We start from the raw sequence: 25738 nt of genomic DNA, 5'->3' as shown, positions 1-25738 counted from the left end.
TTGAACATGGATTACTTTTGTTATCAGAAAAGGAGCATGTTCTTTTCGTTGAAAGATAAAAGTGTACTGGGGTTAAGATATAAGTCAGATTTAGGAATGAGACTGCTATCAAAAGGAATACCGTGATATTGACAACAAGTAGTGGGATTGAGTGAAATAAGCCAGCCTCAAAAAGACAAATACTGTATGATTCCGTGTATATGAAGTACTGAAGAAGTCAAATTGATAGAAGCAGTAGAATGGTGGTTGCTAGGGGTTGGGGAGATGGGGAAATGAGTTGTTTAATGAGTGTAGTTTCAGCTTTGCAAGGTGAAAAAGTCCTGGAGATTGGTTGCAGGACAATATGCATATACTTAATGCTACTGAACTGTTTCCACTTAAAAATGTTTAAGATGGCACATTTTATGTGATGTGTATTTTTACCACAATTAAGATTGTAGGACAAATCTGCATTGCATGGTTGACTCTAGCACCCTGTTGCATATAGAAGAAGAAATCTCATTAATCCAGGGTTAGGGTTTTGCTGGGCCAGTGTAGAATAAGGTAACAAGGGGTACTATTGAGGGTAGGTTCACGTGAGTAGTTAGTTCTGATGGAGGAGATGGATAGGGAAGGAATAAGAGGTTAGGAAGAGGTCTTAAAGAGTAGGCATACTGGGAAAATGCCAAAGACATAGGAGATTGTAATCAGACTAGGAAACAGAGGCTTGTGTGTATTCTGTGGAAGTGATACTTATCTACATTCATTATGAATGGAAATCTGTTGGATGGGAAGCTTCTTAATGGTTGGTTCAAATTTTTTTGTACTTCGTGTTAATTTAGGGAATGAGGCCAAATACCTGGAATGTGCTCAGTGAAATTATCAGTTAAATAATGTGTGTGTATTGTCACATATCTGGAAGTAGCATCCCCTACAGAAAATGCCTTTGGCTTGCTCTTCTTTTCCCTCTGTGCTCTTATTCTAAGCCACACATTTCTGAGGTGTTTGCTGAGTAGTGGACAGAATTCATATGGTTCATTCCCATACCCTTCTTGTTGTCTAAGGGGGATTGATATTCCACTGAGATTTGGGGATAAAATTATAGATATTGACTTCACCCTTGTAGATTCTGATTTCATTGCTTTTGGGTAGAACCTGGGCATTTCTACTTTTAATAAGCCCTTCAGATGATTCTGATATACACCAAAGTTGCATGACTGCTGTTTGAGAGATACCAATTTGTCTTTCTAAAGTTAGAATTGCCTTGCTAGATTTCCCTTTGCTGTATAACATCACTGTTATCTAATGTTTTTAGACGTTATTGAAATTTGGAGTATTGAAAAATAAATTCTGGGATTTATTTTTCTTCTGCTAAGAATATTTATGTTAGCAAGATATTAGTATGGATTTTTTTCTTAAAAACACAAAAGCACCTGTAATCTCAGCAATTTGGGAGGCCGAGGTGGGTGGATCACGAGGTCAGGCATTTGAGACCAGCCTGGCCAACAGAGTGAAACCCTGTGTCTACTAAAAATACAAAAAATTAGCCGGGCGTGATGGGCAGGTGCCTGTAATCCCAGCTACTCGGGAGGCTGAGGCAGGAGAATTGCTTGAACCTGGGAGGCGGAGGTTGCAGTGAGCTGAGATCACACCACTGCACTCCAGCCTGGGGGACAGTGTGAGACTCCATTTCAAAAAAAAAAAAAACAGAAAAGCAGAGGCATGGGCTATTTCATGTGTTTGATGACCAGATGGCAGTAGCATTAACCTCTCCTTAAAAAGGTAGATTAATTTCCTTCACATTGAGGAAATTCTGTTTAGTCAATTAAGACAACATCATTTAGAAGAAAAAGTTTAATTACAAAAAGGATGCTGTAGGCTGGGTGTGGTGGCTCTTGCCTATAATCCCAGCACTTCGGGAGGCTGAGGCGGGCAGATCACCTGAAGTCAGAAGTTCAAGACCGGCCTGGCCAACATGGAGAAACCCCCATCTCTGCTAAAAATACAAAAAATTAGCCAGGCTTGGTGGTGTGCGCAGGAGGCTGAGGCAGGAGAATCGCTTGAACCCGGGAGGCAGAGACTGCATGCAGTGAGCTGAGATCACGCCACTGCACTTCAATCTGGGTGACAGAGCAAGACTGTCTCACAAAAAAAAAAAAAAAAAAAAAAAAAAGCTGTAATTTAAGACTGGGAAGACACAACATCATCACATTTTATGAAATGCTTTTCTTTGACAAATTATAGCGATGTTCAACTAAATAAGCAAGATTTAGAAAACTATGGCTAGGTTCCTATTATTAGTTTGATTTTAAAAGTACATAGTAGGAGCTAAATGAGCTTAAAATTTATGGTTATTTAAAAGAAGCTTCAAGCAGTTTTAAAATGTTGATTAATTTTTTCCAGTCCTGCCAATAGCACTTGCTTTGCTTTGCTTAGATACGTATGAGAATCTGCTTTTATATCAGAAAGCTTAGAATGAAACAACTTATTTTTGTCTTTGTTGCATATTTCATTATGAAACAAAATAAAAAGTAGAAAAAAGTGAAATTAATGGTGCTAATGTATTTTATTGAACTGGATATATCCAAAATATTATTTCAACCTGTAATTAATAGAAAAATTACTTTTATTTTGTACTAAATCTTTGAAGAATCATATATTTTTCTTTTCTATTTCAATAAATTTTTAGGGAACAGGTGGTGTTTGCTTACATGAATAAGTTCTTCAGTGGTGATTTCTGAGTTTTTGGTGCACGCATCACCTGAGTAGTGTACACTGTACCCAGTGTGTAGTCTTATCCCTTACCCCCCTCCCACACTTACCCCTGAGTCTGCCTTTGCATCCTCATAACTTAGCTCCCACTTATGAGTGAGAACATATGACGTTTAGTTTTCCATTCCTGAGTTACTTCACTTAGAATAGTAATCTCCAATTCCATCCAGGTTGCTGTGAATGCCATTATTTCATTCCTTTTTATGGCTGAGTAGTATTCCATGGTGTGTGTGTATATATATGTATATTCCATGTGTGTATATATATGTAGTATTCCATTGTGTGTGTGTGTGTGTATACATACACATGTGTGATTGATATATATATATATATACACGTATGTGTGTGAATTATTCCGTGTGTATATATATGTAGTATCCCATGATGTATGTGTATATATATGTGTGTGTGTATATATGTGTGTATATATATAGTGTGTGTATATATATAGTAGTATTCCATGTGTGTGTGTGTGTGTGTGTATACACACACACACACACACACACACCACATTTTCTTTATCCATTCATTAATTGATGGGCATTTAGGCTGGTTCCATATTTTTGTATTGCAAATTGTGCTGCTACAAACGTATGTGCAAGTATCTTTTTTGTATGATTACTTTTCCTCTGGGTAGATACCCAGGAGTGGGATTGCTAGATCAAATGGTAGTTCTGCTTTGAGTTCTTTAAGGAATCTCCACACTGTTTTCCATAGTGGTTGATATGGTTTGACTGTGTCCCCACCCAAATCTCATCTTGAATTGTAGTTCCCATAAGCCCCATGTGTTGTGGGTTGTGGGAGAGACCCAGTGGGAGCTAATCTAATCATGGGGGCAGTTACCCACATGCTGTTCTCATGACAGTGAGTTCTCATGAGATCTGATGGTTTTATAAGGGGCTTTTCCCCTTTGTGTTGGGCACTGCTTGCTGCTGCGATGTGAAGAAGGGTGTGTTTGCTTCCCCTTCCACCATGTTTGTAAGTTTCCTGAGGCCTCCCCAACCCTATGGAACTGTGAGTCAATTAAACCTCTTTTTTTTTTTCTAAATTACCCAGTCTCACCAGTTTTTTATAGCAGCATGAGAACAGACTAATAACGATGGTTGTACTAGTTTACATTCACACCAGCAGTGTAAAAGTGTTCCCTTTTCACCACATCCATGCCAACATTTATTATTATTATTTTTTTATTATGGCCGTTCTTGCAGGAGTAATGTAGTATTGCATTGTGGTTTTGATTTGCATTTCCCTGATCATTAGTGATGTTGAGCATTTTTTCATATGTGTTTTGGCCATTTGTATATCTTCTTTTGAAAATTGTCTATTCATGTCCTTAGCCCACTTTTTGATGGGATTCTTTGTTTTTTTTCCTGCTGATTTAAGTTTCTTGTAAATTCCGGTTATTAGTCCTTTTGTCAGATGCATAGATTGCGAAGATTTTCCCCACTCTAGCCACCCAGCGGAGTTTCTGGGCTCTGGGCTGGTACTGGGGGGTGTCTGCACAGAGTCCTGTTATGTGATCTGTCTTCAGGTCACTTAGCTGTAGATACCAGCACTTGCTCCAGTAGAGGTGGCAGAGGAGTGAAATGGACTCTGTGAGGGTCCTTAGTTGTAGTTTTGTTTATTGCACAAGTTTTGTGTTGGTTGGCCTCTTGCCAGGAGGTGGTGCTTTCAAGAGGGCATCAGCTGTGGTAGTATAGGGAGGATCAGGTGGTGGGTGGGACCCTGGAGCTCCCAGGAGATTATGTCCTTTGTCTTGGGCTACGAGGGCAGGTAGAGAAAAACCATCAGATGGGAGCAGGGTTGGGCGTGTCTGAGCTCAGACTCTCCGTGGGTGGGGCTTGCTGCGGCTGCTGTGGGGGTGGAGGTGTGGCTCTCAGGCCAGTGGAGTTATGTTCCCAGGAGAATTATGGCTGCTTCAGCTGTGTCATGCAGGTCACCAGGAAGGTGGGGTAAAGCAAGCCCTTACCCAGCTCCCACGCTGCCCAAAAGGCCAGTCTCATTCCCACCATGCTTCTCCAACAGCACGGAGTTTATTTCCAGGCCGCGGGTGAGCAGGGCTGAGAACCTACCCCAGGCTACCAGCCTCTTGGCTGAGAAACCAAACAGGGCTTTCAGGTTTCAGGCCTCCCCACCTGCTGTGGCTTCTGTGCTGTGTCTGCACTCCTGATTCATCCCCTCTCCCGAGTTCTGTCCAGGAAAACTTTGAGTTCTATCGAAATTGTTACAAAGCTCAGCTGGAAGTTCCCTTCTCCTTGTGGTCTTTTCCCAGTTCCTCTGGTAGCCCTCCCCAAGGACCTCTGTGAGACAGTCAGAAATGGCTTTCCTGGGGACCAAGAGCCCACAGGGCTCTTCCCGCTGCTTCTTCTACTCCTGTATTTCACTTGACTCTCTAAATTTGTCTCAGCTCCAGGTAAGTCATATTCTTCTCTTGTGATCTGGACCTTCATGTTCCCCAGTGAGGGTGTGTGCTTGGGGGTGGATGATCCCCCTTTCACACTTTCACACTCTGGGCACGCAACAGTTTTTTGGTTGTCTCCTGTGGCCTACAGGAGCAATGCGCTTGCTTCCTTCAAAGAGTCTGTGGATTATCTTGGTTTTCCTTATATGTTCCTGCAGTAGTTCTTGGAGCAAAAGTTCACGATGTGAGTCTCCACATGCTGCTCTGAGTGGGAGCTGCAAGTTAGTCCTGCCTCCTATCTACCATTTTCCCCCATCTCCCCTCTTAAGTATTTTATACTTAAAACACATATCAAATTGCCCCAGACTTGGCCAGTTGGAAGCCCTTTTTAACTACTGCTGTATATTTGTGACATGTTCCCCATCATTTTTTGAGGGTACTTTCTTTCTGGTATGCATCTTGTCCCTGCTGTTTCCCAACCCTGAAATCAGTCATTTCTCTCAGGAATCCTGGTTCCTTTTAGTGCAAATGGTTTTAAAGACCAAGATACAGGTTCTAGGTGTGAGCATTGCACATGAGGTGCCTTTGCTAGATGGTGAGAGCTAAGGAATACATTTATGTGTACATATATGTACATATACTGATATGAACTACATGCATGCATACATGTATCTCTACCTACACTTTTAAAAAAAAATCATGAGTTCATACCAGTATTTCTAGTTCTCGTCCATCCCCACAGGGATCTTTCTTGCCTTCTCCTGCTCCATGTTTGTATATCCCTTTCATGATGAGAACCTTGTCACTCAGCAGTATCAATGCATTCAAGTGTGTGTTCAATCCTATAACTCATCTAGTATGGTTTCCCTATATGCCTGTTAAAAAGGAATTTATATTTTCTTCTAGTACTTGAGCTTCATATTTTATATTTAGATCCTGGAGGCATTTGGAGTTTATTCCTCTGTATTGTGTGAGGAATGGGTCCAATTTTATCTTTCTCCAAATTGCTATACGGTTGTACCAGTCCTATGTATTAAAAAGGTCATCTTTGTGATTTGAGATGTACTTTTATCATAGGTTAGGTACAGGTCTATTTCTGGACTTACTTCTTTGGCATCTGTGCGCATACGTGCTACACACTGTTTTAATCACAGGCTTTTAATGTGTTTTAGTATTTCTCATGGCTCTTCCTTTTCAGTGTGTTCCTAGCTGCTACTGTATGTTTATTTTTACATTCAAACTTTATAAAGAAAAACTATAAAACCACTGTAAAAGAGCTCATAGCTATTGGGGGGGGGTTATATTAAATTTATACATTAACTTAGAACTGACATTCCACTCCTCCCATTCCTCAAATGTAAGCACCTTCTATGGGTATAATTCTATTCATCTGCTCCTCCCTGCTCTTTGTGCTATTGTTAACTTCTACGTATGCTGTGAACCTGACTTTACAATGTTGTTATTTTTGCTTACATGATCAGTTGTCTTTTAAAGAAATTATGGAAGAACAATGATATTTTATATCCACATATTTCCCATTTTCAGCCCTTTTCATGGATTTCTGTAGATCTGAGTTTCCGCCTGGTTATATCCATTGATATTGTTGAGATATCCTTAACCAAGAATAAGGAATGGTCTTTTCATTGGTTCAAGGCTACTTTTGTATTCTTGTATAATGAGAAGTGGTGGGAGAGGACATTCTTACCTTGCTCTTGACTTTATGGGAAAAATATTAAATATCCTAAGACTAGTTATATTCTTTATCATTTGATTATGACTCAGAGGGCTGGTTTTCAGTTTTACAGGAAATGTACAAACTTCAATGACTTAAGGTAATTTGTATGAGTTACTGGCATTAGATCTCATCCTAGGCTCACTGTACTTGCTACACTCAGCCCGGATGCTAGTCACCCTCACCATGGGTCTTAGGAAATACTGCAAGGTAATTTTAATATTAGATGAAGCAAAACATAATTAGGAATGTAAATCTGCTCAAAGCCCCTTATGTTCTGTAATGAGCTCCCCAGTCCCAAATTAATGATGTTTTGGTTGTCTCTATTATCCTCCTCATTAATAGAGGAATTTTAATGTTGAGAATTTGTATTATTTGGACCTGTATGTATATATCTACTCCTTTTAATACCAATTAGTTTAAAAGTTTAACATTTGGTTTCAGCCCTTGTTTGAACGTAGGCATGGTCACGGGGTTTGAGTTAAAGCCTCTTAATTGAATACAATTCCTCTGCATTCTTTTTTTAAAAAATTATGCCAGCTGGGCACAGTGGCACATGCCTGTAATCCCTACACTTTGGGAGGCCGAGGCGGGTGAATCACCTGAGGTTGGGAGTTCGAGACCAGCCTGACCAACATGGAGAAACCCCATCTCTACGAAAAATACAAAATTAGCTGGGTGTGGTGGTGCATGCCTGTAATCCCAGCTACTTGGGAGGCTGAGGCAGGAGAATCACTCGAACCCAGGAGGCGGAGGTTGTGGTGAGCCGAGATCGCGCCATTGCACTCCAGCCTAGGCAACAAGAGCGAAACTCTGTCTCAAAAAAAAAAAAAAAAAATTATGCCTTTTACATGATAATCTTTAAACAACATAGCCAGTTTATAAGTGTTGGATTAGATTTACTAATGAAAATTCTAGCCAAATGTGGATTTTAGTTACTGGCTTATAGGGACTCAGTTTTTTCCTTTTGCCACCAATGGGAGTGTAATGGGCATGAGTGTCATATGTCACCAGTCTTGTGACAATTGATTTGTTCAATTAGCAGTGAAAGACAAGCTCATCCCTAAAAAGAGAACATACAGAGCTAAGATTAGAACAGCTCAGCATTTCAGTTGGGCAGAACCTCAACTGAAGTATCCTCTTTGAGAGGGATTAAGTTACACATTGATGGAAATCCATGCTTGGTGATGTTTTGTATTGTACTTTGCCCTTTGACCAAGAATTGTCCTTAACATTATAGGTAGTAACTTTATGAGGAACCTCATTTAGATAATTAATTAGATTTTCTATAAATATTTTACATAGTTGAGGTTATTTCATACTCTTTCCTCTTAGAACTTGTCTCCATGTTTAAATGTTCCATAACTGATAATTTTTTAATATTAAGCAGACACTCCATATTGCATAGGATGCCTTCCAACTGTGGTCTGTCATCATTGCAAATAGTCAGTAGGCAGCCAACGTGTAGGGAGCACTAATATTTATGCCTCTTCTAAAGAACATACGTTTGTTCTTTCCCTTAAACTTAACAGTTCTATGAAGTAGATAGTGTTACATCTTATTTTACAGATGAGAAAGTTGAGATTAATTGACTTTACTAAGGTCACAGAGTTAATAAGTTGTGAAGCTGAGTTAAACATATCTCTTTGATTTCTATTACCTCATGCTGTTTCCAAAGATCCATAGATAATTTACATCATGCAGGGAATATATAGATGACACAAATCTTCCTTGAAGCCTGGGGTTCCCTCTCTCCTTGCTTATTCAAATACTGTTATTGGGAGATCCAACATAAAAATAGTGAACTGACTTGCAGTTCATACCTTCTTCTTTCTCTCTCTGGAAGTTCTTCTGTATGCTAACACCTCTCTATCAGAAGCAAAGGAACGGTATAAGTCATTAGCTAGTTGCTAGCCTGTAATTGCTACTTCAATTTTCTGTGTAGTTTATAACAAATCAGATTTTTATGTTTTTTTATATTGCCAGTTAGACAAATATACACAATGACTTTTTAATGCTTAAATAATATATGCTTTTATGTTTAGAGCTCTGTATTATTAACCATTGTATTTTGCTTTTTAACAGTCTCAGTTCGTGGCTCAGAAATTCTTATTTAAATATCATGACCCTGGGAGAGCCCAGCATATCAAATGTAATTTGTGCTTTTAACGAAGAGTTATTTCCCAATTTGCTGTATTAAATAAGATGTATACCTCTTTTTCCGGGCATTGCATTATTTCTAAGTTACTGTGAAAGAAAAGTATATAATGCCATGTGAACAGGGTATGTAAAGTATTTTATCCTTCAAAGGTATGTTAGCAAAAAAGGAGGGGGGCAGGGAACAAAGCTAAACACAGATGAGAATAGCTAGTGATGCCCTTGATTTTGTTGTGCGTGCTCTGGATATCTTTCTCCTTTGTTCCTCAAGGGGTGTCTGGCACCAGCTTTGATCTGCTGCCTTCACAGTGGTATCTGGTCAGTAGAACAAGTTTCAACCATGTGTTTTGCTTGACTCCTACTTAATATGGTATTGGCAGCGGTGGTTTTGATACTGTGAGTGATGAGAAGAGGTGGTGGTGCTGGAGTTGGTCTTGAGAGGAATAAGGAACATTTATTCTGCTTTGATGAACATTTTTGAGAGGGTATTTTAATGGGTTGGCTTCTATGCAGTTTAGTTTTTTAGAACTGTCCTCACTGTTTTAGCTTCTCTCCCAACCCAATGTTGAGTCACAATGATTCATCGGTTTAAAACTGTTTTTCTTCCAAAGCAGTTGAATAGAGAATATTTATGATCTTGACGTCTCCTAAGATATTATTTGTCCATTTTGTATATGGGAAAATGGATGAATGGAGAGTTGAGTGATAACTAGTCAGCAGTGGCAGTAGAACTGGGATGCCCCTTAACTCTCCGTTGGGAGCTGCCATGATCACTGTTGGCTAGACTCAGGAAACTCCCATTTCTTTTCAGGTCAGTCCCTACCAGAGTGTCCGTTGGCCCATCTGCAGAATGTTCCTGTTATTCCAGCCTCACCAATGTGTCCCATTAGACAGATCTCCTTCTAGCATCATGAGTAATGCCCATTGGGTGAGTTGGGCATTTTATGAGGTGCATTCTCTCTCCCTGTCACTTTTTAAGATCCTAGAGCACAAATTCCCACTAGTACTTTGTGAGAGAGGAAGACCTTGTATAGCATCACTTTGGCTATAGGATAATTACATGACAGATACTGGCGCAGCTATCTTCACGTCCCAATTTCTTCCACACACTTTTGCCTTTGTGGCCTGAGTTCTTAACAGCACCAGGCACAATGCTGTGCAGGTATTGAGTATGTGGTAAATGTGTTTGCTTTGTATTATTTTTGTTTCCCTTTTTTCTTTCCTGTTAGTGATTTCTGAACAGACATCTTACTAGTTGTCCAGCAAAATTCACAGCCACCTCACACCTTCCCCTCTTGTTTTTTCACACTTCTTTTAGCTCCCCATTGAAAGATCTCAGAGAAATGAAAGGAATATATGTCTTACAGGGAAGCCAAGGAGACTCATTTTTAACAAGTACTACCTTGCTTACTAAGCAATTTTTTTTTTTTTTTTTTGAGATGGAGTCTCGCTCTGTCACCCAGGCTGGGGCTGGAGTGCAGCGGTGCGATCTCAGCTCACTGCAACCTCCACCTCCCGGGTTCAAGTGATTCTTCTGCCTCAGCCTCCCGAGTAGCTAAGATTACAGGTGTCCACCACCAAGCCCAGCTAATTTTTTGTATTTGTATTTTGTGTAATTTTTTGTATTTGGCCAGGCTGGTCTCAAACTCCTGACCTCAGGTGATCCACCCGCCTCGGCCTCCCAAAGTGTTGGGATTACAGACATGAGCCACCGTGCCCGGCCAGCAAATGTTTTTAATGCTTAAAAAAGGTGCTACATAAATGCAAAGTTGTGGCAGTTATAATTTTATATACCTGATAAAATTTATACCTTGTAAAATTACAATAATTGTAGCCATTCCAAAATTGTTTTGATTTTAAACATTTGAAAAGTGAAATACTTAGGTGGTTTTTTAACTGGTAGCTTGGTGTAGGGGTAGGAATGGAGCTGACACCTTTAGCATCTAACCAGGATTCTTTTACTTCGAAAGCTGAATTGCTAATTCCAAAGAACATTGTGTTGACAGTGCCTGCAATTAAGAAGCCATCACCTTTGTGTTATGACAGTTTTCTTCCTTACTACAAGCATTATTGTTACCTGGAATAAAAGATTCCTGCTTTTTTGTTCACATCTTGAGCTGGTTATGAGTATTAACCCATGTCACTGTTGGTACATTTATAGAGTATAAAATCACTCTATAATTGCAAATGGGCAAATAGGTTATTCCCATGAGAACTCTTAGGTTTTTTTGTTTGTTTGTTTTTTCTCCCTGCACATTTTACTTTTGTCTCTTTCTCTGAATTGCCAGCCTGTGCCACACTTGGGTGTTGGAAGTAAAGGTGCTTTTGCTTTCCTGAGAAACCTGGGTTCTACAAAATCACATGTTAAAATAACAGGGCTTAAGGGAAAAATAAGGGTAGAAGCTGGCTATTGAGAGTTTATTCCTCTTTGTAACCAGAACACTAAGAAACTCAAGCACCAAAACAAAACAAAAACCAACTTGTACTTGGGGAGATGTTTGAGGGACAGCCCAGGCAGGCAGCTCAGAGTGGTAGAAAACCACTACAGGGGGTATTAAAAATGTACAGAAACACTTCAGTGCATCTCTGAAGCAGCTTCAGAATTCAGCAAAAATCATGTGAAGGAAACTGCCCAGATCTCAGGTCTCCAGCTTTGTCGCTCTAGACCACCCCAGGTGACTGCTCCTGTCTTTGCTGGTTTGTCTTTTCTCCTGCAGACTTCTGTATGAATCAAGCCCCAGCCCTCTTGTAGTTTCTCCATTAACTGAATTATTTGTCTTTTTAAAATATTGATTTATACACAATAGCAAAGAAGTAAAAACAACCTAAGTGTTTATTCATGGATAAATGAATAAATGTGATACAGTGGATTATTACTCAGACTTCAGAAAGGAAATTCGGAAACATGCGACAACAAGGATGAACCTTGCTGAGACAAATAAGCCAGTCAGAAAAAAAAGAAAAATACTGTATGATTCTACTTATATGAGTCACCCAGAATGGTCAGATTCACAGAGACAGAAAATAGAATGGTAGTTGCCAGGGTTCGGGGTGAGTTCTCATGGGAATAACCTATTTGCCCATTTGCAATTATAGAGTGATTTTATACTCTATAAATGTACCAACAGTGACATGGGTTAATACTCATAACCAGCTCAAGATGTGAACAAAAAAGCAGGAATCTTTTATTCCAGGTAACAATAATGCTTGTAGTAAGGAAGAAAACTGTCATAACACAAAGGTGATGGCTTCTTAATTGCAGGCACTGTCAACACAATGTTCTTTGGAATTAGCAATTCAGCTTTCGAAGTAAAAGAATCCTGGTTATGTGTAATGGGTAAGGAGTTTTAGTTTGGGATGATAAATGAGTTCTAGGGACAGATAGTGGTGATAGTTACACAATAATGTGAATGTACTTAATGCCACCGGACTGTATACTTAGAAGTGACTAAAATCGTAAATTTTATGTATATCTTATCACAATACAAATTTTTTAATAAGTGATTTGTAAAATATACAATGTAAATGAAAAATAGCCTTTTATCTGATGTGTTGCAAGTATTTCTCCTGCATTGTCATTTGTCTTTTGACTTTCCTAAATTTTTGGACATAGAGATGCTTTACATTTTTATGTAGTTAGATGCATTTTGTATTGTGTTTATAAAGGTCTTCTTCACTCCAAGATTATAAAAGATAATACATTTCACCCATTTTTTTCTTCTAGCACTCTTAACTTTTTTATGTTGAAATCTTTACTCCATATAGTTTTTTTTTTTTTTTTAGTGCTGGGAATTTTGTGGATTAGGACAGCAGGGGTATTTCTAGTGCTTTATTGTTTTCAAGGTTTATTAGGACTTTAGAGAAACAACCTCTGTTCTCTGATTCTTACATACTGCTGAATTTTAACTTGTCTACAGTTGTCAGAATGGAGAGGTGAGGGGAATAAAAGGCAGATAGCAACATGAAATCTAGCTTCCAAGGCTGTGATACATTATGAATACTTTGCAACAGTCTGGCCTGAAATATGGCTACATTTCCTTCCTTCCTGATGAGCTGACTTAGCAACAAAAATCTTTTAAACCAGTGAAAAATATGGAACAGAAGGCTGGCAATGTCCCTTAGAAACAATGTCTCATTCAAAAAGCATAATCCCATGTGGAAGCAAAATGACTGATGTTGATACCCCAGCCTTTCCTCTGAGATACTCCTTGAAATTCCCAGAGCAAAACATAGCTGACCTCAGGTTCCTGCCCTTGAGACATAACATTGCCTGAGAGAGAGGAAAAGGGACAGCCTCTGTGTCCCATCATTTGAGGTCTCGGCTGTAAGGAGAGGCCCAGTTAACTTGGTGCCTAGTAGGTGTCAGAAAACAACTGGAGTTGGGCGAGCAGGGTCTATCCTGCTGATATTTGAGATATTATCATATTGGACAAGATGTGGTCCAGATGCTAGTATGAGGAGGCATTCCAAGTCTATAATTATTTTTCTTTTCATTCGTGGTTTGGTAGAAAAAGCTGTGGGCCGTCAGGTAGAAGAACTTGGTTGTAATCCTTGTTCTACCACTCATTGTTTGACATTGGAAAGCCTGTTAACCAATTTGTGTACACCCCCTTCCCCCCCACACCCCTTTTTAAAAACTAGATGAATACATTTTAAAAATTGTGTTAAAATATACATAAGATTTACCACTTTAATCATCTTTAAGTGTACAGTTGAGTGGTATTAGGTGTATTCACACTGCTATGCAACCATCATCATCATCATCCATATCCAGAGTTTTTTTCATTTTCCTAAACTGAAATTCTATGCCCATTAAACAATAACTTGCCATTGTCTTCTCTCCACCACCCCTGGCAACCACCATGTTACTTTCTGTCTCTATGAGTCTGACTACTCTAGGTAACTCATATAAGCAGAATCATATAGCATTTGTCTGTTTTTGTGACTGGTTTATTCACTTAGCATAATGTCTTCAAGGTTCAATAAAAATTAAAAATAGAATTATGTATTTCGAGAATTCCACTTATTATATAGCCCAAAGAATTGAAAGCAGGGACTGGAACAGATATTTGTACATCCAACTTTATAGCAGAGCATTATTCACAATTGCCAAAAGGTGAAAGCAAACTCAAGTGTCCATAGAGAAATAAATGGATGAACAACTTGTGGCATCTATGTACAGTGGCATATCATTCAGTATTTTAAAAGGTGCTTCTCATGTTTTATATCTCTAAAACTAGGTGGTTGAACCAGTTAATCTCTGAAGCCCCTCTAGTATCTTGTGTAATACACTGGTATGGAGGGCTTGTGGGTCCTATTGGTGCATGTTTCATTTCCTCTTTGTTGTTTGCCTTCCCTACCCCTCCCTCCCTCCACCCATTCCACATACACAGAAGCTCAAGCACACACAATTCACTCCAGCTCTGTTCAGTAAGTTGGGAGAAACGTAGACCTGTTCTTAGGTAACCAAGTAGCTTTAAGCTTGACCTTTTTTTAGTAGGGCAATGATGTTAATAAAATGCAATTTAACAACTTAATGCATGCCTTCATGGCTATATGGACAGCAATTCATGTATAGGAGGTACTGAGAAAATCTAGAAATAGAAGAAAGACAGTGTCCTAGAAATATAGGGAAGACAGTAGGTAACAGGTATGCTAAACATAAGATGCATGGTGTTTCAGTGCATTTGGTTGAATTGGGTGGGTGTCTGGGAGTGAATTTTACCTTTTTTTTTTTTTTTTTCTTTCCCGAAACAAGGTCTCAATTTGTCATACAGGCTGGAGTGCAATGGCACGGTCTTGGCTCACTGCAACTTCCACCTCTGGAGCTCAAGCAAACCTCCCACTTCAGCCTCCCTCTGGGACCACAGGTGCATGCCAGCACTCCTGGCTAATTTTTTGTATTTTTTGTAGAGAAGGGGTTTCGCCATGTTTCCCAGGCTGATATAAACTCCTGAGCTCAAGCAATAGGCCCACCTCGGCCTCCCAAAATGCTGGGATTCCAGGTGTGAACCCTGGCGTCCAGCCAATTTTATCTTCCTTTGGAAGAAAATAATCCCTGGAGAAGATTAGTTTGGTTTGGCATTGAGGGATAGGCAGATTGTGAGGGCTGGACTTTCAAAGTTTATTGAGCATCTAATACATGTCAGATACTGGGCAAGCTCTTTTATGTATATTATCTCTCACCCTACAGATAGCCTTATAGAATGGGTGTTATTATCCTTATTTTTCCAATGAGAGAATTGAAGCTTAGATAATTTAAGAAACTTCTCCAAGGTTTCACAGCAAGTAAGTAGTGAACAGCAGTTTAAACTCAGTTTTTTCTGACCCCAAAGCCTGTGGGTTTTTTTGTTTGTTTGTTTTGTTTTGACACCTAATTAGTTTAAACACCTAATTAGTTGGGAAACAAAAGTAGTTTTTTTTTTTTTTTTTTTTTTTTGGAGACGGAGTCTTGCTCTGTCGCCCAGGCTGGAGTGCGACGGCGCAATCTCAGCTCACTGCAACCTCCACCTCCCAGGTTCAAGTGATTCTCCTGCCTCAGCCTCCTGAGTAGCTGGGATTACAGACGTGTGCCACAACACCCGGCCAATTTTTGTATTTTTAGTAGAGACGAGGTTTCACCGTGTTGGCCAGGCTGATCTCAATCTCCTGACCTGAGGTGATCCACCCGCCTCGGCCTCCCAAAGTACTGGGATTACAGGCGTGAGCCACCACGCCCAACCAAAAGTAGTTATCTTTTAACAGATTTTTAAAATATAATTAAATATAACCAAACTTCATTATAAAGAACAACAGATATACATATATATGTGTGTGCATGTGTGTGCAAGCGTGCATATTCGTGTGTGTGTGTATATATATATATATATATATATTTTTTTTTTTTTAAAGAAACAGTCTCGGCCAAGGCAGGTGGATTACCTGAGGTCAGGAGTTCGAGACCAGCCTGGCCAACATGGTGAAACTCCGTCTCTACTAAAAATACAAAAAATTAGCCAGGCGTGGTGGCGGGCACCTGTAATCCCAGCTACTCGGGAGGCTGAGGCAGGAGAATCGTTTGAACCCGGGAGGCAGAGGTTGCAGTGACCTGAGATCATACCACTGCACTCCAGCCTGGGCGACAAGAGCAAAACTCTGTCTCAAACAAAACAAAACACAGTCTTACTCTGTTGCCTAGGCTTCAGTGCAGTGGCACGATCATAGCTCACTGCAGTTTCGAACTCCTGGGCTCAAGTGGTTCTCCTGCCTCAGTCTCCCAAGTAGTTGGGACTGTAGGTGTGTACCATCATGCCTGGCTAATTTTTAAATATTTTGTAGAGACAGGGTATCACTACATTGCCCAGGTAGGTCTCAAATTCCTGGCTTCCAGCAATACTCCTGTCTTGGCCTCCCAAAATGCTGGGATTACAGGTGTGAGCTACTGCACCTGGCCTACAAATATGTGTTAATATATATGCATATACAGTCATGCACTGCATAATGATGTTTTGGTCAATCATGGACCACATATACGACAGTGGTCCCATAAAATTTTAATACCATACTTTTACCATACCTATTCTATGTTATATATGTTCAGAAACACAAATACTTACCATTGTGTTATAGTTGCCTGCAGTATTCAGTACAGTAACATGCTGAACAGGCTTGTAGCCTAGAAACAATAGGCTACACCATGTAGCCTAGGTAGGCCATGCCATCTCGGTTTGTTAGTACATTCTCTGATGTTTGCACAATGACAAATCACCTAATGATGAATTTCTCAAAATGTATCCCTATTGTTATGTGATGCATGACTGTATATACACATATACAATATATATTCACTTATAAACAAGTATGTTCTTTTATATATACCATGTTTTCTATTTTTCATTCTTTTCAGATTCAGTTAAGATCTATACAATGCAAAGTGTTAATATTGTTATATTTTTCCTAAACACATCTCCTTACTAGGATCCCATGTGTGCTTTGAGGAAACTTGTAGTTAATGAGATTATGTAATGCCAAAGCATGTAAAATTAGTCTAAGGGAGACCAAGATGCTGTATCAATCAGGGTCTTAGTTGCAAGCTGCAGAAACTGACTTAGGCAAATTTAAGCAGAGAAGGAATTTATTGAAAGTATTTTGGGCAGCTTACAACCTCTCTGGGAGCGCCCAGGGACTGTGTTCAAAAACTAGAAGGAAGGCTAGTATAGGGCCTCACATTGCAGAGCTGACTGAAGACCTGCTGTTGCTGCACACATGAGCACTGCAATTTGTGCCATCCATGTCAGTGTTACTGTCACTGGGCAGTGGACACTGCTACTGCCTCTGTCCTTTTATAAACTGTTTGTAGTTGCCACCACATAATACTAAGAATGGATTCTGCATAATCCCTCATTCTCATCCCTAGTTTTTGATTCAAATACTGCGGGTGAGTATTTATGATCAATGTGGCCTCATTTACGTGCCGATGTCTAGAGCAAGAGATGCTGGAAAAGAAGTATCTAGAATTTTCTGCTTTGATAGTAGGAGAGGGGCTCTGTTTTATAAGGTGAGGGATGCTAAGGATTAGGAAGGGGATTCAGATCCTGGCGGCCAAAAGAATGACAAGTGGCTCCATTAGATGGCATTTGCTTTAGCAGTTGTGAAGGGTGGAGGGTAAATTGATCATCAAACTATAGGAGAGACTGCTAAAGATAAACACACAGGATTAATGGATAAATTAATTAGTTTAATTAAGCTACAGAATTTATTCCTAAGAATTTTTTATGATATCAAAAATGGGATTGTTGTCTTGATTTCTTTTTCAACTAGGCTGTTTTATTTGTGCGTAGGAATGCACTGATTTTTGTGTGTTGATTTTGTATATTGCAACTTTACTGAGTTCATTTATTCTAACAGGTTGTTACTATGTGGAATCTTTGGGGTTTTCTACGTATAAAATCATGTCATCTCCAGATAGAGATAAAGGCATTGATTTGGATGCCTTTTCTTTCTTGTTTGATTGCCTTTGCTAGTATTTCCAGTACTATGTTGAATAGAAATGGGCATCCCTGCCTTGTACTGGATCTTAGTGGAATAGTTTTCATTTGTTTCCTGTTGATTATGATGTTAGTTGTATGTTTTTCATGAGTGACCTTTATTATGTTGAGGAACTTTTCTTGTATGCTTAAACTGTGAAGAGTTTTTATTGAGAAAGAATATTTAACTTTGTCAAAGGCTTTGTCTGCATCCATTGAGATGATCATGGGGTTTTTAAATCTTTCATTCTGTTAATGTGGTGTATCACATTGATTTTGTGTGTGTTAAACTAGCCATGCATACCAGGAATAAATCTCACTTGTTGGTGATGTCATCAACAAAAATAAAACACTTAGGAATAAATTTGAAGGAGGTAAAACATTTGTACACTAAAAACAATAAAACGTTGAAATAAAGAGGATGCAAATAAATGGAAAATACCCTGTGCTCATAGATGGCCTTGGCAATGACTTTTTGGATCACACCTAAAGTTCAAGCTACAAAAGCAAAGATAAATAAATACATGAACTATATCAAATTAGGCTTCTGCACAGCAAAACAAACAAAACAAAAAACCAGTCAACAAAATGGAAAGGCAACCTATGGGCTAGGAAAAAGTATTCACAGACTACATATCTGATAAGAGGTTACATTTTTAAGTTTTTAGAAATTTTAAGAACTGTTAGAACTCAGTGGCAGAAAAACAATCTGTTTAAAAAGTAGACAAAGGACCTGAATAGACATTTCTCCAAAAAAGACATAAAAATGGCCAACAGATATATGAAAAGGTGTTCAACATTACTAATCATTGGGGAAACACAAATTAAAACTACCATGAGATACCACCTCATGTTCATTAGGATGGCTGTTATAAAAAAGTCAAGATGTAAATGTTGGTGAGGTGTTGAGAAAAGGGAACCCTGGCACACTGTTGGTGGGAATGTGGATTGGTATAGCCATTATGGAAAACAGTATGGAGGTTCCTAAATAAACTAAAAATAGAACTGCCATATGACCTAGTAATCTTTCTTCTGGATATATACCCAAAGGACATGAAATTGAAATTGCCATCTTGTAAAGATATCTGTACTCTATGTTCATTTCAGTATTATTCACAAGAGCGAAGATATGGAGACAATGTGAGTGTCCATCAGTGGGCAAATAGATAAAACGTGTGTGCGTGTGTATGCACGTGTCGGTATTTCATTGTATGTGGACTTCTAGTGTGTGAATATCTAGTCCTTGTTGGCATGATACCTTTTGAAAGGTAAGGTAGAGTCTTTTTCTTTTCTTTTTTGAGGTGGAGTCTTGCTCTGTCGCCCAGGCTGGAGTGCAGTGGTGCGATCTCCGCTCACTGCAAGCTCCGCCTCCCGGGTTCACACCATTCTCCTGCCTCAGCCTCCCAAGTAGCTGTGACTACAGGCGCCTACCACCACACCCAGCCAAGTTTTTTGTATTTTTAGTAGAGACGGGGTTTCACCATGTTAGCCAGGATGGTCTCAATCTCCTGACCTCGTGATGTGCCTGCCTTGGCCTCCCAAAGTCCTGGGATTACAGGCATGAGCCACCGTGCCTGGCCAGTGTAAGGTAGAATCTTTTTCTAAGATGGAGTTACTTACATCAAGGGTGCTCTATAGACATTTCCTTCTTTCTAGCCCCAGCCCAAGGAATCTTTGAAGGAAAGGTAGAAGATACGTCTCAAGGTTACTACTGAAGAAAACACAAAAAACTGTTCGTTGGCAGTTAATAGTTGTCTGGGTATTGCTATTTATGAAATAGAATAATTAAGACTTTAAATTAAATTTGATTTAAACTTGTCACCTATAGATAAATGTCAAGTTTTAGACCTTAAGGTAATTATTGTATGGTTGAAAATAAATACAGCACCAATGATATTTTACTTGACCTATTTTGCTATGCGATCAGTTTTTTTTTTGTATTTAAAAATTACTAAATTGGCTAGGCATGGTGGCTCACACCTATAATCCAAGCACTTTGAGAGGCTGAGGTGGGCAGAGCTCTTGAGCCCAGGAGTTTGAACCAGCCTGGGCAACATGGCAAAACCATGTCTCTACAAAAACTACCAAAATCAACTGGGCGTGGTGGCTCATGCCTGTAGTCCCAGCTGTTTGGGAGGCTGAGGTGGAAGGACCGCTTGAGCCTGGGAGGTTGAGGCTGCAGTAAGCTGTGATCATGCCACTGCACTCCAGCCTGGGTGCCAGAAAATAACTTTGTCTCAAAAAAAAAAAAAAAAATGTTCTCCCAAAACTCTATCCACTTTCCCGCACTAAGTAGAGTGACTGTAATCTCACACAGTTGAGAACATTTAGACATAATGTGGCTTTGTGGGAGAGGTGACCTTCTAGATTCTGAAGGGTTTCAAGGACTCATTTCCAATAGAACAACTATAATTGCAGTATCCTAGAAAAGGGCTTAGAGAGAAGAAGAGGAAAGAAAAAAAAGGTGATTCATAAATACAGATGTAGACACTAGGACAATAATACATGCGATAATTGTGACCTTGGCATTCTTACTGTGAATTTCCATTGAATTGCTGTAAGTTAGATTCTCTGTTCTGTTTACTTCTTTGCACATGACTTTATACTTGTGTGTGAAAAAAAAAAAAACTGAACTGTGATTTGAGGATCCTTAGCTTTTAATCTAAAAGAATGAGTTGGTACGACCTCTGGAACATACTTCTGGAAGGAAGAATTACCTAAGAGAATGGTTTTTCTGCTAGTCAGAAATCTAAGTTTTGTATGCTAGCTTGCAAGTTAAGGATAGAAAAGGCTTTCCCTGGCCGGGTGCGGTGGCTCATGCCTGTCATCTCAGCACTTTGGGAGGCCAAGGCAGGTGGATCACGAGGTCAAGAGACTGAGACCATCCTGGCCAACATGGTGAAACCCTGTCTCTACTAAAAATAAAAAATCAGCTGGGCTTGGTGACGGGCGCCTGTAGTTCCAGCTACTCGGGAGGCTGAGCAGGAGAATGGCATGAACCCGGGAGGCGGAGGTTGCGGTGAGCTGAGATGGCGCCACTGCACTCCAGCCTGGATGACAGAGCAACACTCCGTCTCAAAAAAAAAAAAAAAAAAAAAAAAAAAGGTTTTCCCTGAAGCAAATAAATGTAAACACTTTGAATCAATGTTGCATTTTCAAGAGAAAACTATTTCAGCAGATGAACAAAATAGATTAAACACAATAGCAAAATCTTTGAGGACCCTCCAGCTGTTTCTAGTTCTACTACCATATGGTAGCTGGATCAATGAAGAAAATTCAGTTTGAGCATCAGTAATTGCTACCTGGGTGATGTGAACAAGTTCAAAGAACTGCACTTGAAAGTGTCCTGTCAACAGTGTATGAGCCTCTTCACTGTGTCATAGGGGCAGAGGTGAGTACCACAGTTAACTCTCTCAGTGGTCCCCAAAAGTCTGCTGAATGAAGTACAGAATCCTTATTTAGGCATGTGACCACCTTCTATCTGGTCCCCACCTACCTTTCCAGTATATCACACTTAGAGCTAATGCTTTTATCAAATTGGACTCCTTCCTGGTATCATCACCCTTTCCTACCTCTGTCTTACAACACTATAATATTTCCCCCTTTACTCGGAATGTCCTACTCTTCTCCTTTATATCTCTTAACCCAAATTATACTCCTCTTCAGGACCATTTCAAATACTATTTTTGAATACCATGAAGTCCTCTGTTAATCCCCCTGGGACTTCTGAACCATAGCACTTTATATGTCTTTTTGTGGCATTTGTCATGTTTTTGTCTTGTTTCATAGCTATTTTTGTGTGTTGTGGGTTGAATTGTGCCCTCCTAAAAGATATGTTCAAGTCCTAAACTTCAGTCCTTGTGAATGTGACATTATTTGTAAATATGGTCTTGGCAAATGTGATCAAGTGAAGATGAGGTCACACAAGATGAGGGTGTGTCCCAGTTCAATGACTAGTGTCAAAAGGAGAGAGAAATTTGGACAGAGACACAGGGAAGAAGGCCATGGGACCACAGAATCAGTGATTGGAGTGATGCAACTACAAACTGGAATGTCAGGGGTTGCTAGCAAGGCTAGATGCTAGGAAGATGAGGGGAAGCTCCTCCCCTAGAGCCTTCAGAGACAGCATGGCCTTGCCAGCATGTTGATTTCAGACTTCTAACCTCCAGAACTGGGAGAATAAGTTTCTGTTGTTTTAAGCCACTCACTTTGTGGTCCTGTACAAGGCTGCCCTAGGAAACGCATATAGTGTGTTGATCTAATCTCTAGTCCTCCCCAGGCAATGTATTATAAGTTGGTAAAGAGCTTGGGCTGTTTTTTACTCATCATTATCTCCTTAGCAGTGACTGAGTCATTCAGCTGTTTTGTTTTGTTTTGAGACGGAGTCTCGCACTGTTGCCCAGGCTGGAGTGCAGTGGTGCGATCTCGGCTCACTGCAAGCTTTGCCTCCCTGGTTCACGCCATTCTCCTGCCTCAGCCTCCAGAGTAGCTGGGACTACAGGTGCCCACCACCACGCCCAGCTAATTTTTTGTATTTTTAGTAGAAATGGGGTTTCACCGTGTTAGCCAGGATGGTCTCGATCTCCTGACCTTGTGATCCGCCCCCTTCGACCTCCCAAAGTGCTGGGATTACAGGCGTGAGCTACCACGCCCGGCCCATTCAGCTATTTTTTGCTTTGCTTTTTTAGATACAGAGTCTTTGTCACCCAGGCTGGAGTGCAGTGGCACAATCATAACTTGCTTTAACCTAAAACTCCTTGGCTCAAGCCACCCTCCTACCTCAGCCTCTCAAGTAGCTAAGACTGTAGGTGCACACCACCATGGCTGCATACATATATTTTTGATTTTTAGTAGAGATAAGGTCGTCTTATGTTGCCCAGACTGGTCTTGAACTTTTGGCCTCAAGCAATCCTCCTGCCTCAGCCTCCCAAAGTGCTGGGATTATAGGCATGAGCCACCAGGCCTGGCAGCTGTTGTTTAAAAAAATAAATTCATGGCCGGGCGCGGTGGCTTATGCCTGTAATCCTAGCACTTTGGGAAGCTGAGGCAGGCAGATCGCCTGAGGTCAGGGGTTCAAGACCAGCCTGGCCAACATGGTGAAACCCTGTCTCTACTAAAAATACAAAAATTAGCCAGGCATGGTGGAGGCTGAGGCAGGAGAATTGCTTGCACCTGGGAGGTGGAGCTTGCAGTGAGCCAAGATCATGCCACTGCACTCTAGCCTGGGCGATAGAGTGTGAGTCCATCTCAAAATAAATAAATTAATTAATTAATTTATGTTTATTGAGGTATAATTTATGTTGAGCAAAATTCAGCCTTTTTAGGTATACAGTTTTTACAAATGTAAGTAGTCTGTGACCACCACCAACACATAGAACATTTTTATCATCCCAGAAAGTTCCCTATGTACCTTCCCAGTCCTTTCCTGGCAACTATAGATTTGTGGATTTTGTCATTTTTAGAATGTTATGTAATGGAACCCTATAGTATGTAGCCTTTTATGTCTGGCTTCTTTCACATTGCATAATGCATTGGCGATTCATCTATGTTGTTGCACTTACTGGAAGTCTGTTCCTTTTTACTACTCATTCAGCTGATTTTTGAGTGTCATTGCACGCTAGCTATTGTGCTAATGTCCTGCAGATGGATTAATGAATAGGGTGGGCACAATATCTACCTTTTGGGTTTTATATGTCAGGTAATAACAATAGAGTATCATAAGTGTTGTGATGGTATCAAGTACAGTGTATTATATAGGAGTACAGAGGAGGAACATTTAACAGATTTGAAGGATCTTAAAAGGCTTCCTAGAGGAACTGATGTTTAACTTGAGACTCAAGGATGAATGATTAGGCTCCAGGCAGATGATGAGAGGGATGGATGCAGGCTTATACCAGCTTCAGAGTTGATTGTTAAAAATTCAGGAACTCTGCAAGTTAGTGGCTAAATTTTTGACAGATTGAAATTGGCCGTGGTGGGTGTGCTTAGACCATGGATATTGTTAAACACATCAAATGAGGACTCTCTCCCAGCCCCTAAACAGTTCTCCTGGACACCACTGGATGGACAAGTATTATAACCAGGAGAGATAATTAACATGAATGCAAGAAAGAACATGGCATTTTTGAAGAACTGAAATTCAGTACAGTTGAAGTATAGAGTGTAAGGGAGAGAACTGACGCCTGGAGAATTCGATGGGTGCCAGATTGTATTGGGTGATGTAAGCTATGCTAACAAGCCGTAATGTCCTTTTCTGCTAATTTCATATCTGTGTCAGTTCTGGCATTATTTTGATTGACTGATCATTCTCCTCTTTAGGGGGCCATTATTTTCCTGCGTCTGTGCATGCCATGTAATTTTTGATGGCATATCAGAAATTGCTTTTACCTTGTTGAGTGCAGTCATAATTTTGTATTCCTATAAATACTATGTAGTTTTTATTCTGGGGTATAATTAAGTTACTTGGAAACAGTTTAATCTCTTTAGGTCTTGCTTTTAATATTTGTTAGGTGAGACCAGAGCAATGTTTCGTGTGGCGTTAATTATTCTCTACTACAGCAAGACCCTTTTGAATTCTCTACCCAATGCCTCAGGAATTCTCTACCCACTGCCTTATGCGTTAGGAGGCATGAATTAGGGGGCAGACTTTGTGACTGTTTCAGGTAGGAGGGTACATTTGATCCCTAGCCTCCATCATGGCTGGATATAAAAGTTATTATACCTTATCTAAAATTAGTGGAGGGCAGTTATAGAGAGGTTTAACTAAGAGTCTGGCAGGATCAGATTTGTATTTTTAAAAGATCATTTTGAATATAATACAGATAATGGGTTGTTCTATTTATCTGGTGGAGTTGGTGGGGCCTTCAGAATACTATATTGGAGGTAGGTAAACCAGTTAGAATACAACTGCAGCGATTCAGTTAAGAAGTAGTTATGACTGGGCTGGGTGTGGTGGCTCATGCCTGTAATTCCAGCACTTTGGGAGGCTGAGGTGGGAAGAACACTTGAGCCAGGAATTCGAGACCACTCTGGGCAACATAGGGAGACCTCATCTCTTCAAAAAATAAAAAAGTTAGCTGGGCATGGTGGTGAATACCTGTAGTCCCAGCTATTCAAGAGGCTGAGGTGGCAGGATTACTTGAGCCTGGGAGATTGAGGCTGCAGCGAGCTATGATTGCACCACTGCACTCCATACTGGGTAATAGAGTGGGGCCCTGTCTCTTAAAAAAAAAAAAAAGAAATATAGTTGCATTGAAAACAGTGTCTGAGTTGTTCAAAAAGTATCTCTGAAGTAGAAAATATAAACCATTGCAGAAGAACAGTGAAAAAAATAGTAGGTTAAGCTTCAAAGATAAAAAAATCAGCCCAAATCTGATTTAAAAAATACATTGTCATACTAGAGAGTAAGTTTGTTTGAATTCAGAAGGGTGCCCACCAGTGGTAGAATCCAAACACCTACAGATGGGTATGGAAGAGCTATGACACTAAGCACTAGAGGAAAGTTGAAGATGGAAACGTTCTTTCAATAAAAGAACATTCTGGGATCTTGCTATGCTATAGAATCGGTATCCAAAAGGTAGTGCAAAGTTTAATTTCCAGATGGCACCTTTTAATCACATAGATGACATCCAGCAATTGCCATCTAAGGATATACAAGTTAGGAAAAAGTTGTGTGGAAACAGAGCTTTAAAA

At 39.9% G+C, this 25738-nt stretch overlaps 1 protein-coding gene across 11 annotated transcripts in view, besides 2 other annotated features; it reads left to right on the top strand.

Annotated features, from left to right (window-relative positions):
• The window catches only part of AVEN (apoptosis and caspase activation inhibitor), a 223545-nt gene that overhangs the window by 154715 nt on the left and 43092 nt on the right, over positions 1-25738 (top strand). The gene's annotated exons all lie outside the window — the stretch shown is intronic.
• Positions 4162-4712: an enhancer, noted in NCBI's record as "H3K27ac-H3K4me1 hESC enhancer chr15:34208100-34208650 (GRCh37/hg19 assembly coordinates)". NCBI's record gives its function as "activates a minimal SCP1, AML or CMV promoter by ChIP-STARR-seq in primed H9 embryonic stem cells {active_cell/tissue: H9 hESC(primed)}" and the evidence as "EXISTENCE:reporter gene assay evidence [ECO:0000049][PMID:30033119]".
• Positions 22271-22320: an enhancer, noted in NCBI's record as "active region_9172". NCBI's record gives its function as "activates an Ori minimal core promoter by ATAC-STARR-seq in GM12878 lymphoblastoid cells {active_cell/tissue: GM12878}" and the evidence as "EXISTENCE:reporter gene assay evidence [ECO:0000049][PMID:35858748]".

This window comes from Homo sapiens, chromosome 15 (genome assembly GCF_000001405.40).
Source record: "Homo sapiens chromosome 15, GRCh38.p14 Primary Assembly".
Classification (NCBI taxonomy): Eukaryota; Metazoa; Chordata; class Mammalia; order Primates; family Hominidae; genus Homo; species Homo sapiens.
Note: the sequence above shows the minus strand (reverse complement) of the source record. Positions and strands in the feature narration are given on the sequence as shown.